The 16,365-nt window shown below is 45.6% G+C and overlaps 1 protein-coding gene and 1 non-coding gene across 12 annotated transcripts in view; both read right to left on the bottom strand.

The window, feature by feature from the left end:
• NAV2 (neuron navigator 2) overlaps positions 1–16,365 on the bottom strand; it is a 776,366-nt gene that overhangs the window by 544,661 nt on the left and 215,340 nt on the right. The window lies entirely within an intron of this gene.
• On the bottom strand, positions 1,569–1,631 carry MIR4486 (microRNA 4486). Its single transcript, NR_039706.1, has one exon. It is a non-coding gene; the product is annotated as a microRNA 4486 (primary transcript).

Raw genomic sequence — 16,365 nt, 5'->3', positions numbered from 1 at the left:
CCTTAGAAATATATAACCAGCACCACTCAGCCTAAGACAGCCAGATGGAAGGACCCCAGGACACCTTCCCAGGCCACAGACACATCCATTCCATCCAATGCTGTGTGTCTGCTATGCACTGTGTACTGAAGAGGGAATGATGAGAAAGGCTCAGGGTTCCCTTCTGAAGCCCACAGACTGGTAGAGAAGACAGGGAGGGAAACAGATATATGTTATTCACGTGAAAAGGACCATACAGAATTAGGTTTAAGAGCTCTCTTTGGGAGCAGCAGATCTTTGAAATTTCCAGGCACCGGAATGTGTAAGTTTTACAACAAGCTAAATATATACAAGTTAATCATATTCATGTATTTGCATAAATTAATAAACAGCAATTATATATTATAGCAATTTCTAAGTAATATCCCCAAATAACTATCTCAATATACCAAAATAGTAACAATGGTTATTTCTGGGTGGTGGAATTATGGGTGATTTGTATTTCTCCCCAAATTCTCTACAATTAGTATGCATTATTTTTGTAATAGAAAAACAAACAAATGAAACATGAGTAAGAAGCGAGTGGTTTCAAAATACCCTGCAGATGGGAAATCTGTTCGCTTGCCTTGGATTCAGCTGAAAGCCTCTCTATGACTTCAAGAACCATCAAAAGTTTGAAGTAGCTTGAAAACAGGTTTTTGCATCAGAATGCGGCAAGGCTGCCCAGTCTCTGGCCAAGTGGGTCTGATCCCTTACCTGTTTATTTTGTGGCTGAGGATCAGAAAGGAGTATGCTAGCTTGGAATGGAGAGTGTAGACAGAGGAGGACCCATTCCACAAATGGCTGTGTGCAAAGGGCACTTAGGCCTGGATTTGAGCACTTTTTCTGCCATACACTAGATGTGAGATCTTGGGCCAGTTATTTCACTCCTTTGAGCCTCAGATTCCTCACTCTGTATGACTTAAAAAAGCCATCCTGAACCACCCAGGCTCAACTGGGCATCTATTAGAGTCCACACCGTAATCTGCTCAGCCCTCTGTGTTACAATGGGCTACAACTTAAAACTAGGGAACACACCTTGTCCACAGCTGTGATTCCCTTACCTCTCATAGTGCCTGGTACAGTGACCTTCAATACACATTTGCTGAATGAATGAGATGCCAAAGCTCATGCTAGGTCCTGTAGCTGCAGAGATGAACGACATGGATCCCTGGCCATCGGGAGCTCCCACTTTAGTTGGAACTCAGTCTCCCCAACACAATATAGATGATGACCAATGCCTTAAAGGGCTTATGTGCAAAGAGAAACTAGAAGAATGGGGAAGAAAAGGTGAATTTCCCCAGGGGTGTCTGAGGAGGTACTTGCATAGGGGGGTAGAATCTGAGCACAGTCTGGAAAAATGAGTAGAGCTTCTCCTGCGGGTACAGAGACAAGGCAGGCAAAGGTGTGGAGTGGAGCAGGAATGTGCACAGCAAGGAAGAGGCAAGAGCAAGGCTAGGGCCAGGCGTGGAGCACCGTGGATGGGTCTGACTGGCATTCTGGCTGCTGTAGGAGCCCAGGCTTAGAAGGAGAGCTGATGGGCTCCTTTCTCATTGCAATGGCAAGAGCAAGCATCTACCGCCTGTGCTAGATGCCAGCCTCGCCCAGCATGCTTCCACCTGCCCATCAGGAGGGCAAGGCAATAGGACCAGTTTGGGGTTAATCACTGCTAAATCTAGTCTGCTGCTAAGAACCCCTCTAATTTAAACCAGCATCTGTGAGAAGGGCCAGCTTTGGCAGGGGCCTTGAGGAATGTGGACATGATTAACCTCTGCCAGTTGCAGCAAATTAACTGCAAAAAGAACATCCTGGCAGCACCCCGGATCTTAAGTGCAGCCAACCCTTGAAGATGCAGGCTGATTGCTTTGCCTGGGCTGGAAGTGCAAAGCTGTGTCTTTACTGGGCACTTCCCATTAGGAAGTATAGGGGCACCAGCTAAACTCCATCCCTCCTCAGGGCCTTCACCTGTGCTATTTCCTCGGCAGGAAACCCCTTCGCCCAATTGAGTATGGTTGGCCTGTTCTGATCTTTCAAGTCCTGCTTCAAATGTTGTTTCCTTTGTGATGTCTTCCCTGACTCCCCATCTAAGGTGGCTTTGCTATTCTCCCCACACTCATCACTTTCTGTTCCACCATTCTATTTTCTACTTTTCAAAGAGTTTATTTTCTTGCATGGTTGTTCATTTCCTTTCTCTCTACCTAATTCTAACTGGACCTATGCTCCACGGTAGCAGGAACCTTGTCTTGCTCACAGCTGTATTCACTATGTTTGGCACTTAATAGGTGATCAACAAAAATAAACGGGATGGAAGGAAGGAAGTAAAGAAGGAAAAAGAGGGGGTTTCTAATACAATGGCTCCAAAATGTCCACCAAAGCACTTAGCCCCACTGCCCTGGGAAGATGGCTCATTACCCATGAGCCCACGGAAAACCTATAGGCCAGGGCCAGGAGTGTTGGAGCCCCAGGGACAACACAGGCCAGGAATCTGATGCTAAAGGAAGAATAAGGGACTAGGAAGGGAATTAACATTTATTGAGCACCTACTGCTCAATAGTGCCAGGCCTGTGGTTACTGAATGAAACCTCTCATTTTACAGATGAGGGGGGCTGTAGCTAATAATAAATCATAATAAACATAAAATATCTAACATTTATTTTTGCACCTGGGCTAATCACATTGCATATATTTTCCCAACAAGTTTGGGAGGTAAGCATGATTACTGCTCCCATTTTGTAAGCAGTGGGAACCAGGAATGCTCAGTAACTTGCTCAGTTTTATACAACTAGCTAGTGGCAAAGCCAGGATCAGAACTCAAGTCTTTCCAACTCTTGTCCAACATCCTCTTTTGACAGAAAATGCCCTTCACACTATCATGATGGCTGGTTTGGCCCTGCCTTGCAGCCAGCTCTCCAGGGAAGTTGCTGGAAGGAGCCCTGCCCCAGGCCATGGTTCTAGGCAGACTTCAGACAATCCCCAGTCATCCACCAGCTGCTCAGCAGGCCAGTAAATTAGCCTGCCACCCCCAAGTGCTGAAAGCACTTGGGCCGCCTGACACAGCACCCTTGCCAAGAGCCTCCCACAGACACAGGCAGGTGAGGAGGGATGGGCCTTCTAGCCCTGCAAAGCAGCCAGCTCAGAAACCACCCAGGGAGGCCTCCCTGACAGGCTGGGTACAGGGGAGGGCTCAGGCAGCACTTTCTGTCCAGGAGAAGAAAGCACAGTCCTCAGGCTCTACCACCTACCTATAAGCTGGTGACCAGATAAGTTTCTTAATCTCTCTAAGACCTAGCTTTCCCATCCATAAGGCTTCTGTGAAGATGAAGTGAAATGGCAGATGTCAGGCACTGCCCGCGGCTGGCACAGGGTAGCAGCTCAGTGAAGCTCAGCTGTACCAGGTAAATTCTAAAATCAGAACCCGCCAGGAAATCCTCCTTCCCACCTATATACTCACGCATGCCACAGTCATTGAGTCCATACTATGTGCTTGGCTGTGTGCTGAGCGCTGGAGAAAACATCATTAACAAAATGGTCAAAATCCCTGACTTCAAAGACCTTCCAGTTCGGAGTGGGTAACCAACAAAACAAATATGATAGTATGTCAGACAAGGTGCCAAGAAGAAAAAGGCAAAGCTGAGAAGATAGGTATGAAGTGTAGGGGCAGGGTAGCTGAGATTCTGAACAGGGTGCCCAGGGATGGGCTCACTGAGAAGATGACTTCTGGGAAAAGAAGTGCAGGAAGTGATGAAGGTAGCCACACAGATGTCTGGGTGGAGGTGGGAGGTAAGAATGTTCTAGGCAAAGGAAACAGCAAGCTCATGCCTGAAAGCCAGAGGAGTGCCTGCCGAGCCAAGACGGAGTCCTCACATGATTTCAAAGACAAAGCATTTCCTAAACAAGAGGTTAATGAGAAAATTAGATTGTGTAAAAATGCAATTTGTGGCCAGTTTTTCAAAAGGCATGCTGTTGACCCTGTTGGTTCTGCGGTTTGTTGTTTCTGGAAAGCGGTCCTTGGCAAACTTCAGCATATTCATATAGGTTTCCCCAGGTAATTATACTAATTAATATCAGCAATAGGAATTATAATCCCTGTCATTTATCAAGTCCCTACCATGTGCTGGGCAAAATTCTGGAAGCTTTTATATACACCATTATGATTCCCATTTTACAGATGAAGAAAATGAGGCATAGAGAGATTAAGCCTTTTAATCAAAGTCATGCAGCTCATAAGTGGGAGAGTTGGAGTTCAAACTCAGACAGACTGGTTCTGGCATCTATGTGCTGACCACCATGTAACTACCTTAAAAACATGGAAGTCATTATTATTACTAACAAGACGGGGTTGCCCTGGGCTGTCCAAGCTTTCTTGCTCTTCCCCAAAAGCCATGCTGTTTCCCCAAAATGAACACTCCAGAGCTTCCTGTTTAATCTTTTGCCCCAGGTCAAGTCCTTTTGTCAAGATATAAAATATTGAAGCCGAAAGGTTGCAGATAGAGTACTACAGCAAAGGGATGACAAAATTCCAATCTCTATTGCAGAGAAGGGTGGCTGAGCAAGGAATATGGCAAGCTGATGCCATATCCCCAAGTCTCAGTTTCCCCGTCTGCCAAATAAGAAGGGACGGAGGGCTTTAAGGCCTCTTCCAGTCCCTGATCTTAGAGTTCAGCGACACGGACCCTGGACCCTGACCTAAGCCATGGAGCATATTGTCAGGAGTGTTCAACTGACATCCGGAAGGCAGCAGCCTGGGCAAGCTGACTGTGTTGCCAGGCAGTGGGAGGAGCAGGCCATACTACCTAAGTCCATGGCTTGGGCCAAAAGAGCATCTTCCCATCTGCACCCCTGTGTCTGCCAGTGTTGTCCTGTGGTCCTGCCCCAGGTAGCAGGGGGCAGATGGTTCTACCTGCCAGTCTACTCATCCACAGGATGTCCCTAACACAGTGAGTGCTTAGAGGGTTGGGAAAGACCAAACCTGCCACAGTCTCCCCTCTCCTTCTTCATCCTCCCATCTCTGCACTTCCTATTTTGGGACTTCCTAACATATCTTATCATTCAGCCTTTGGGAAAAGCTGATTTCCAGTGGGAAGGGGATATAGTCATAATAAGTAATAGTAAAGGCACCATTTACTGACTGCTTTTCTGAGCTACACGTTTCTTTTTAATGAAAGTAAAATCGACATAACATAAAATTAAACTTTTCTTTTTTTTTTTTCTTTTTTGAGATGGAGTCTCGCTCTTGTTGCCCAGGCTGGAGTGCAGTGGTGCAATCTCAGCTCACTGCAACCTCCACCTCCTGGGTTCAAGCAGTTCTCCTGCCTCAGCCTCCCGAGTAGCTGGGATTTCAGGCACATGCCAACACTCCTGGCTAATTCTTATATTTTTAGTACAGATGGGGTTTCACTATGTGGCCAGGCTGGTCTTGAACTCCTGACATCAGGTGATCCACCCACCTTGGCCTCCAAAGTGCTGGGATTACAGGCTGGCACTGTGCCTAGCCGAAAAGTTTTCTAAAGTGTACAATTCAGTGACACTTAGTACTTTCATAATGCTGCGTAGCCTTCACTTCTAAGTGGTTCCAAGACATTTTCATCATCCCAAAAGGAAGCCTGTGTCCATTAAGGAGTCAGTTGCCATTCCTGCCCTCTCCTTTGCCCCTGGCAACAACTAACCTACTTTTGTCTCTCATGGATTTGCCTATTCTGGATAGTTCATAGAAATGAAATCATATAATATATGACCTTATGCCTGGCTTCTTTCACTTAACATAATGTTTTCAGAGTTCATCCATGTTGTGGCATTTGTCAGTACTTCACTTCTTTTTATTGCTGAATAATATTCCATTGTATGGATATACCATACTTTGTTTATCTATTAATCTGTTGATAGACATTTGGGTTGTTTCCACTTTTTGGCTATAATGAACACTGCTGCTATGAACATTCATGACCACATTTTTTAAACACTTGTTCTCAATTCTTTTTTGGTGTACGCCTAGAAGTAAAATTCCTGGGTCATATGGTAATTCCATGTTTAACTTTTTGAAATACCATCAACTGTTTTCTGCAGTGGCTGCACCATTTTACATTCCCACCAGCACTATAGGAAGGTTCTAATTTCCCCATGTCCTCAGAAACACTTGTTATTTTCAATTTTTTAAAAATTGTAGCCATCCTAGCGTGTGTGAAGTGGTATTTCATGGCGGTTTTGACTTGTTTGTCCCTAATGACTAATGATGTTAGCATCTTTCCATGTGCTTCTGGGCTATTTGTATATCTTCTTTGGAGAAATGTCTATTCAAGTCCTTTGCTCACTTTTTAATTGGTTTATTTATTTTAATCAGGTCTTTTTTAACATTGAGCTTTTGATATATTCTGAATACTAGACTTACCAGATATATGATTTGCAAATATTTTCTCCAAGTCTGAAGCTGTCATTTGGTGTAGAAAAGTTTTTAATTTTGATAAAGTCCAACTTATCCATTTTACCTGCTGTTGCTGATGGTTTTGATGTTGTATCTAACAATCCATTGCCAAATCCAAGGTCATGAAAATTTACCTCTAGGTTTTATCCTACAAGTTTTGTGTTAAGTGTTTTACATCTAATCTTCTTGACATCCTCTGGGTGAATTCCATCATCATCACCATTCCCATCTTAGAGACTAAGGGTCAGGGCATTTAAGTTACCTGCCTAATGACACACAGCCATGCAGAGCAGAGGCAGGGTTTGAATCTGTGTCTTCAGCTCCGGAGCCCAAGATGCCTATCATTCAGCCTCTCCAGATCTGCCTCCTGTTGCCCATTATCCCCTCATCTCCAATAATGTAGGTAGTGATAGGTAGTGATTCCACAAACAAAATGCTGGCCCCAAAATTTGAAGGGAAGGATGGAAGAAATACAGATGTTCCCCCTGATAGCTACAAGGAGTAATTCTGCTGCCTGGGAGGAAGGCTCAGGTGAGACAGCCACCTGGTTGAATACAAGGGGAAAGTCATCTTTACCTTTCAAAATTTAGCGTTAGTAGACTTTGTTGTGCTTTTGTACTTTCCTTCCTTATAAAGCAGCAACTCTGGGGCAGTGGGACAACCTCCATGAGCCATTTCATCTCATAACTCCCCATCCAGGGTGGTTAGGGGCAGTTCTCCCTCCCCAGGGAGCATCACATTGTAATCAGTTCCTGACAACGCAGCTCATTCCCCAGAGAAGGGGGTGAGATGTAGCCCTTTGCATCCTGATTCCTTGCCTTGAAGTTGACAGCAAACGTTCATTTACTGAGGTCTATTATGTACCAAGCTCTGTGCTATGGGGGCCACAGAAATAAGTTTTTCAAGTAGGCCAGCAGAGAATAGAGAGAGAGAGAGAAACAGCTGCCATAGTTTGAGGCAGAAGGCAGGATGGGACAGACCGAGATGGATATTAGGAATCAAATGTGGGAATATTCATTTATTCACTAAAAAAATTTTATGGGTTTTTCTTACATGCTAGACACTCTTTTAGATATTGGGATAAAACAGTGAAAAGACAGACAAGGTCGTTTGCCCTCATGGGGTTTACATTCCAGTGAGAAAGAGAGACAATAGACAAGGAACCAGCTTGAGATGGGATCAAGAAGAGGCTGCATTTGAGCTGAGCCCTGCAAAATGAGTAAGACATTAATGCATTGACAAGGAAGGGAAGGACATTCCAGACTAAGAGAAATGCATGAACAAGGGCAGGGAGGGATACAGCTCCTTGACATCTTGCAGGTGTATTTGCTAATTTCTTTATTATTTAAAACTTTTTTCCATGACTATAAACACTTTATTTTTATAAATTTAAAAAGTACAGAACAAGAAGAAAAATCATTTACCATTCCCTCACCCAGGATAATAAGTTTCATGACCATGCAGAAGCTGGATCCATTTGACTTCTCTGAAGTGCTGGGCCCAAGCATTCTGTGCTCAGCACCTGAAAAGCATATGCTGGGTGAGATAGAGCCTTGCTTTCTTCCAATGCTGCCTGTCACATAGAAGATGCGTAGGAGACCCAGGGCAGTACATCTGAAATGTAAGTTAATGACTTTGGCCCAATAACTCCTAATCAGATCCACTTAGATTAGAATTAGAGAGACCTCACCTTTGCATTCTCAGAGTGTGGCCAACGTGAATGGGGAGGTGACGTTAGCAGCACAGACTTGGGTTCTGAGACCTGGCTCAGCCTTATGTAACTAAGACCTTGGGCAAGTGCTCACCATCTTTGCTCCCCTTCCTTCAATGGGGGACTAAAGAACCGGGACTAGACCTACCTGGGAGGTGCTTTCATAAGAAGTCAATGAGATCAAGTCTGTGAAGTGCTTAGCAGGGTCTGACACAAACAGTGCTCCAGGAGAGAGCCTCTTATGCTCTGGACTTCTGGGTCAAGTTGGCTTTTGCCACTGTAAAGATCCATCTGTACAGCTTGGACATCCAGAACTCACAATCACAATCCAGAACTGGGCTCCAGACACACCCTCACCTCTAACTCTGCCTGCTCCATGTCCTTCCTCGAGTGTGAATCCTCCCAGGCTTCACATTGATTCCACAGCCCAAGTCTCTCACGTCTAGAGCCTCTCTCAGGGTCTCAGTACTGGAGCTCATTTCTACAAAAACTATTTTTACTGGGCATCCTTGCCTGAGCCTAGAGATCTCTGAGCCCCCAAAGACAGCCCTGGTGGCCTCCTAAGCTTCACAGAGTGATACTCAAAGGAAGAATGTGAGCTGTGGCTTGTGCCAAAGCCTAGAGAAGAATGTGCCAGGCCAAGGGAACAACAGGGGCAAATGGGCACAGGCACTGGTTCTCTGACTTGCTCATTCATGTTTCATCCATTCAACATTTACCGAGCACCTACTGTGAGCCAGGCGCTGCATCAGCTGCAGGATCACAGCTGTGAACAAGCACCTGCCCTCAGAGAGTGCACAGCCAGGGGGAGACAGAATATGAAATATGAAGTTACACTATAGTGTGATCGGTGTTAGGATGCGAGGGTACACAGAGCCCCTGACTGGGCATGAGGCAGGGTGTATGCAGCCTGGGGAGAAGGTCAGTGATGGGAGACCCCTCGGAAGGAGGAACTTTAACCTGAGCATGACTGTGAGTAGGTTCCTGGAGGATTTTCTTTTTGAAAGAGAGGGTAAAGTGAGGAAATGAGTTCCAGATTGCAGAATAGCCTATGGAAAGACCTAAAGACAAGGAAGAATGTGGTCTATCAGAGGGACTGAATTAAGCTCCAGGGCTGGAGGTTAAAGGGCCATAGTGAGATGTCTGAGGGCCAAGGCTGGGGACAAAGGGGGGCCTGGCTCACCAAGAGTCTTAGAGCTACAGTGCAATGGTTAAGCTCACAAACCAGGGAGGCAGAAAGCCTAGAATTAATGCCCTGTTCAGCCACTTACTAGTTGTGTGACCTGGGGCAAATCACTCAACCTCTCTGGACAGTGCTGATGGGAAAAGAGAGAAGGGAATAAATGTGAGAACATTACAGAAATAAATCTGCAAGATGACTTCAGGGAACCATATACATTGGTCCAAAACATTGCATGGAAAGCCTCAGTTTTGCTCTCTAGTGGGTCGGTTGTCCCCTGGGATCACCACTTAGGATGCAAACTACACTTCCCTTCCACAGCCCTGGCCTCCAATCCTCACCCAGTGTGGATCACTGGCCAGCCTTTCTTTCTTTGGCTGCAAGAAGTCCACAGTCAAAAGTGAAAAGAACCAGTTGCACCCGGTCATCCTGTCCCCGGCAATAGCTGGATGTTCAAGAGAGGAGAAAAAGAAGTATCTGTGAAGCTGTCAGCAGGGAAATTCTGGAACATGGTGGAGACAGAAATATTTACTTTGCAGGGATAAATATTACAGAAACAGCCCTCCATCATCCAGTCTCTGGTCTAATGTAGATTTCTCGTTCCAGAAAGGTATCCTTATTGCCTGCAAAAGTGACAGCTGCAGAAAGTGTAGACCTTTTTCATAAAACAAATAAATGCAAACAAATAAACATAATATATGGAAGATTCTTTCTCACAGGCAATGGTGAAAATACATGGATTTGAGTTAGGCCTTTGTGGGTGTGTCTTTCAGATCCTTGGTGACCATGGGCCAGTTATCATGCCCCTCTAGACCTTAGTTTCCCTGGATGCTGGACAGAGCATATGTAAGTATCTTCACAACATGGCTGTGAGGATGGAGTGTGCCCAGGATAATGTCTGGTGTTTCATAAATATGGATTCTCTGTCTCATACTCATCTTCCTCTCTATAGCATGAACTTCCTACATAACCGGCAGTTCTGGAATATCTGAATCCACAAGCAGCTCCAACCAGCTGCCTGAGCTCCCTGTCTCAGGCACAGGGGTGGCTGCCAAAATGACACAAAGAATCTCAGTAACTGAGCCAAATGGCGTTTGCAAAACTCCTCAAGTTTATGGATCACCTTGAAGTTAAAGGTGGAATTTAGTCATGGTCTCCTTTTGACTCAGAGAGATCTTTACAAACTGGAGATCATTTGCTTGTCTGTAACAACTGCACATTAAAATGACCACCTTGGGCTGGGAGTGGTGGCTCATGCCTGTAATCCCAGCACTTTGGGAGGCCGAGGTGGGTGAATTGCTTGAGACCAGGAGTTTGAGACTAGCCTGGGCAACATGGTGAAACCCTGTTCTTACCAACAGCAACAACAAAAAAAATTAGCCAGGTGTGTTGGCGTGCACCTGTAGTCCCAGCTACTCAGAAGGCTTAAAGGTGGGAGGATTGCTTGAGCCCCAGAGGTTGAGGCTGCAGTGAGCTGTGATGGTGCCACTGCACTCCAGCTTGGGTGACAGAGCGAAGCCCTGTTTCACAAAAAAATAAAATAAAATAAAATAAAATAAAATAAAATAAAATAAAATAAAATCTCCTTGGATAGCTCTTCATGCTGCAGCCCAGTGTCCTGCGGTCTATCCATAGGTTGCTGACATTACAATTCACCAGTGCAAATGAGAGCAAGCCCAGAGCTCCAGAGGAGAAACACGAAGTCGCAAGTTCTTTTCCTCCAGCTGCCATTGGATGCCAGGCCACATCGAGCATTTCGTCTTTAGATGGCGAGACAGCCAGGAGGAAAATTGAAATGTCTGCACAGTGTTGTGTACATTGCATGACAGTGTCTTTGAAAAGCACATCTCATTGGGTGCACACATGTTTGCACACAGACATGGTTTATTTTAATGGTGTATTCAAAGCAGGGAGTGGGCTGTAGTAGTCATTTTACTGGCATTAATTTCTGTGGAAAAAAAAGGCGGGCTGTCAATTTATCACCATAGGAAAATCAATGAAATTTGAGCTTATTCCAGATACCTATGAAAGGGGTGGTTAAGGGAGAGATCAGTGATGCATGTAGCCCTTCCTCAGATGTCCTGACTCCTGGGTTCCTGGGAGCAGAGCCTAGCAAAGAACTGGTGTTTTCAAGACTGCTAATTACAAGCAAATCTCAAATTCAGAATGTGATCAAGCCACTACCGAAGCTCTCACCAAAGGACTCTTGGATGAAGAGGGAGGAGGGGACCTTTAATTGGAGAACAAATGGGAATTTGAATAATTTGAAAGATTAGGGAAATAGGAGAAGAGTACTTCCAAGGGTTTCGAGGCAGTGCGGAGTAGGAAGAAAAGCATGGGCTTTAACCTCAGCCACTGGGCTTTACAGATTTGATTGATGTAGGAGTAAACATATGTAAAAGGACAGCGATGGATCCCGGCAACATACTGGGCACACACTAGGCGGCCGGTGCCATTATTACCTTTTTCTGGAGAGGGGGCAGGCAGGGTCTCACTCTGTCATCCAGACTGAGTACAGTGGTGTGATCTCGGCTCACTGCAACATCTGCCTCTTGGGTTCAAGAGATTCTCCTGCCTCAGCCTCCCGAGTAGCTGGGATTACAGGCATCTGCCATCACTCCTGGCTATCTTTGTATTTTTTAGTAGAGGTAGGGTTTCACTATGTTGACCAGGCTGGTCTTGAACTCCTGACCTCAGGTGATCCGCCAGCCTCTGCTTCCCAAAGTGCTGGGATTACAGGCGTGAGCCACCACGCCCGGCCCAGTGTCATTATTACTTTTGCTGCTCATTGGCTGCGTGGCTCTGAGCAAGTCACCCGACCTCTTTGGGCCTCAGCCTTCCCCTCTGTGACATGCTCCTGGGGAGCCCGGTGGGAGGTACAGAATAGCACACGGTGGGCACTCAAGCGGCGGCGGACCTCCCGGCCCCCTGATTTCTAGGGGACGGCAGGAAGGGAACTAGAGGGCAGGTCTGGACACTCAGGCCCCGCCCCGCCCCTCAGCCCCTCTCGCTAAGTCTGGTGAGGCACCTCACGCAGTTGCTCCTCCAAATGGAAAAAGAACACGACGCCCAGATCAGAGCTCTGCCAAGAGTCTCCTTAGAAAGGCCCGGCAGCCAGCACTCTGCCGAGGGCCTGCCAGAGCCCGACTGGGTGGTGAAAATAAAATTAACAGCTAATGAGCCGCTTCCTGAGGCTTCAGGGAAGAGCCAGTGTCAGCCAGCGCAGGGTCTCACTTTTTGAGCAATTAGAGGAAAAGCAGGATTCTGTCTTGTGAGCATCACCAGATATTCCTGTCCACAGTGGGGGGAAAATTCGAGAAGAAACGCTGATCCCAGCCTCAGCCCATTCCCCCAGAGAGCGCCCCACCCTCAAGGATCACCAGCGCTATGCCCTGAAATGTGTTTATGCTTCCCCCTGCTGGTGGCTCTTGTCACTGCACTCCCCAAAGCCCCCGCCACAGAATGGGTAGGCCAGGCTTCTCACAGCCGCTCATCTTCCCTGGAGGGGTAGGGGTCGGGGGTTCAGGTGGGGACGGGCTCCTGATTGCAGAGGCTGCAGCTGGCCTCCATGTGAACAGGTGAAGACAGGGAATGTATCTAAAGAACGACATTACAGTAGCAGCTAATATTTATTTGTTCAATATTTAATTTATTAAATATATTTGCTTTGCTTTAATTGATTTGCTTAATATTTATTTGCAAGGTGCCAAGCCCAATGCTAAGCATTTTTCCTGCTTTACCTCCCTTAACTCTCTCAATAACCCTGTGAGGTAGTTATTACTATTCTCTTCATGTTACAGGAGGAGTCTGAAGCTCAGGCATGCTGAAGTTCATACATCTGGTAACTGGCAGAGCCCAGATTTGAACCCAGGCAAGCTTAACTCCAGATCTTCCATTGTAGTGGCGGTTCTCCAACTTTTGGGGGCATGTGAATCGCTTGGGATACATATTAAAATGCCCCATAGACCCGGGATTCAATGGGTCTTGGGTAAATAAAGCCCAGGACTCAGCATTTTAACAAGCACATTGGTGAATTCTGGTGTAGCTGATTAATGGATGCTACTTCAAGATTTACTGCAGCCCACCAGGTGCATCCCGATCCAAGGGCTCAAGTAGCAACCAAGGTGTTCATTTTACTTTACAGTTGTTACAGACAAAAATCGACTCTGGTCTATAAAGGTCCCTCTGTGTCAAAAGGAGACCATGACTAAATTCCACTCTTAGCCTCAATATTCACAAAGATCTAGCCTAAGTGTAATGGGGTTCCGACTCCTGAGTCCTGGCACCCAACTCTGTATTACTGGTAGAGCTGTGTTTGGGAAGAGAGACTGGGGAAGTGATGGAGAGCTGGTAGGGAAGGTGTTGTCCTGACTATTGGGCAGGCGTGGGAAATTCACTTCTTTTCCCTGGTCTTGGTTTGTCCATCTAAGCAATGAAAAGATTTCGGATCTTCTCTAAATTTTGAAAATTCTATCTGCCCACAATCCAAACTTTTGTATTTCTTTTGTTTTCCTGAGAGCTCTCATAGCAATCAAACTGAGCTATCCAGTGTCCCAGCTTCTGCTTTCTGATAGGTCCAGATGTTAATTGGGTCTCTGCTGGTAATGTATTTAATACCTTCTCTAGGTAGGTGAGGTGTCTTGGCAGGGCCTACTCCATGTTTTGAAGGTGACATTATTTTAGGACCCAGAGAAAACTCATGAGATTAGATGGATAGACAGAGATTCCTTGACATCTTACTGACCACACCATTAATACATATGATTGGCTCTGAATGGAACTTGGTTATGAAGCAACCCTGTCTTGTAGGTGCTACTGATGCAGATCTATAGACTAGGAGACATAAAACCTGGGCTCTGACCTGAGAACTATTGCTTTAGTGCTGCGTAAATCCACACCAGCACAGGGCCTTCATTTTTCTCTTCACAATGAGGCATTAGGCTTTGTGGTACATGGTCCCTTTCTTCCTGGATTCTGAGATGTATTAGATCAGCCAGCTCTGGGCAAGCCATGTGTCAGAGGTCTAATCCCTAATCAAACATCTTAGAATCCTATTCTGTTGCTGATTTAGTGCCTAAGCTCCAGGGCTGTCAAAACTTGAAACTGAAAAAAAAATATGAAGAGTCAAAAACATTAAGTGAAGACCCAATCCATGTCTCAAAGAGAGAGTTTATTGTAAGTATCTTATCCTGCCCTAAAGGATGCCCGGAGCCCCCAGAGATGCCCCAAAAGCTTGAGGCCCCAGGGGCTACTCTGCTTGTCAACAAGACTTTCCACCCTCTGAGAGCGGATTTGCCCCAAAGGGTTGGTGGTCAGGCATAATAACTTGATTCTGTCATGATCCACCTCACAGGCAGGTGCCGTCTTTCTATATATGGATGTTGCGAGACTAAATGAGAAAATATAGATAACACTTGGCACAGTCAGAGTTCTGTAACTGTGGATTGTTGTGATGGTTTTTGTTATTTTTACTAGTTAATCCTTATAAGGGTATCTGTAAAATGGGTATATTACCACTGCCAGGGAAATGGTTGGAAGATTAAATGAATGCAGTGTGGAGGCACGAGGCCCTCACCCCCAGAGGCTTAGTGCCTGCATCTCTGGATGGGGTGACACCCAGGCCCATCAATGGCAGGAGAGAAGAAAAGCCTGAAGTAGAAAAATGTTGGAGACCTCAGCCCTCATCTCCAGGAGCCCCCTTCATCATCCCCAGGGATGGTAGCCTGGGGCAGTGGGGCAGGATCTCTTCTTAGCCAAGGCCCAGTGGCAACCGTAACTGAGCCAGACTTGCAGGCTGTGGAGCCTTGGCCAAGTCACTTAACCTCCCTGAGCCTCAAGGGGGTTAAAACAGAGTGCAAGGCAGAGGTCCCATTCAAGGAATTCAATGCCAAGTGGTATAAGAAGCAGAAATCTTAGGAAGGGCTTCAGATAGCCACAGGCTATGGAATTTGGGATCCGTGGCAATTTAACTTAGATCTCAGGGAGTCCCCAAACACATATCTAAATTAAACAGAGTGATGAAGATAATTAACTTACTGATATCTAGTAATAATAGGTGCTTACACAATGTTCACTGATTAACAAGAGAAATTTACTGAATATATTGTACTAAATAGCTGATGAAAGCAAGGTCAAGTTCAAGTGGCCTTTGCTATAAGCCTTGGATTTCTGAATTTCATATATGTATGTGAAGGTTGAGGCTAGCAAACACAAGGGCCAGACAATTTCCTGATTTTCCCAAAATAACAGGTGGGCCCAGCAGTGTCCCCCTTCCCTGGTTTCCCGCCCGACTCTCCGTGACTGGTTAGGAGACGCTGCACCCAGATATCCGGCTTCACTCACAGCTGACCACACTGAGCAGTACCGTCATGTGAACAGAATTAGTCATCATTTTGATGAAAGTGAACAATCAAAGGAAGAAGACCCAACACACATTCTGTCTTTTATCTTCTATCAGAAATGCCTCTTTCTGACCTTAGAGACCCAAGCTGAAATTTAGAATCGGAAGGGATGGTTGAGGTCATCCATCCAGAATTTGCCAGGTGTATTCAGAAGAACACTGGTCTTAACGGAAAAAGAGGGTCTGAGGTCAGGGAAGTTTGGAAAACATTGCACATATATCCTTTCCTGCCCTTTGAAATTCACTATGCAGCCAGGCACTTAAAACTCTTGGAAGAGTCCTGAAGAAAGAAGCCTGTTCAATTTTGTTTAACCCAGAGTTTCTCAAACTTATTTATCTTTGGGACCTTGCTGTTGATGCACTTTCCTCTTGCCCACTTAGTGTGTACTGACATGAGCATTTCTTCTATCTGGTCTACTCTATTCATTCCCAGTATAGCTGTAGTTCCTGAAGTCACCTGAATGTGCAACCCATTATCTAGACCAGACACTCAGAAAGATGGAGTAGCTTACCTAAGGCCATATAGCTAATTATTCTTAATAGTCATAAACCAATATTTGTATAGCAATAAAGCTCATATTTGTACAGTGCTTTAGAGTTTTCTATAAACTTATATTCACAGCATGTTGTTTATCAAA

The sequence above is a fragment of the Homo sapiens genome, chromosome 11 (assembly GCF_000001405.40).
Source record: "Homo sapiens chromosome 11, GRCh38.p14 Primary Assembly".
Taxonomy (NCBI): Eukaryota; Metazoa; Chordata; class Mammalia; order Primates; family Hominidae; genus Homo; species Homo sapiens.
Note: the sequence above shows the minus strand (reverse complement) of the source record. Positions and strands in the feature narration are given on the sequence as shown.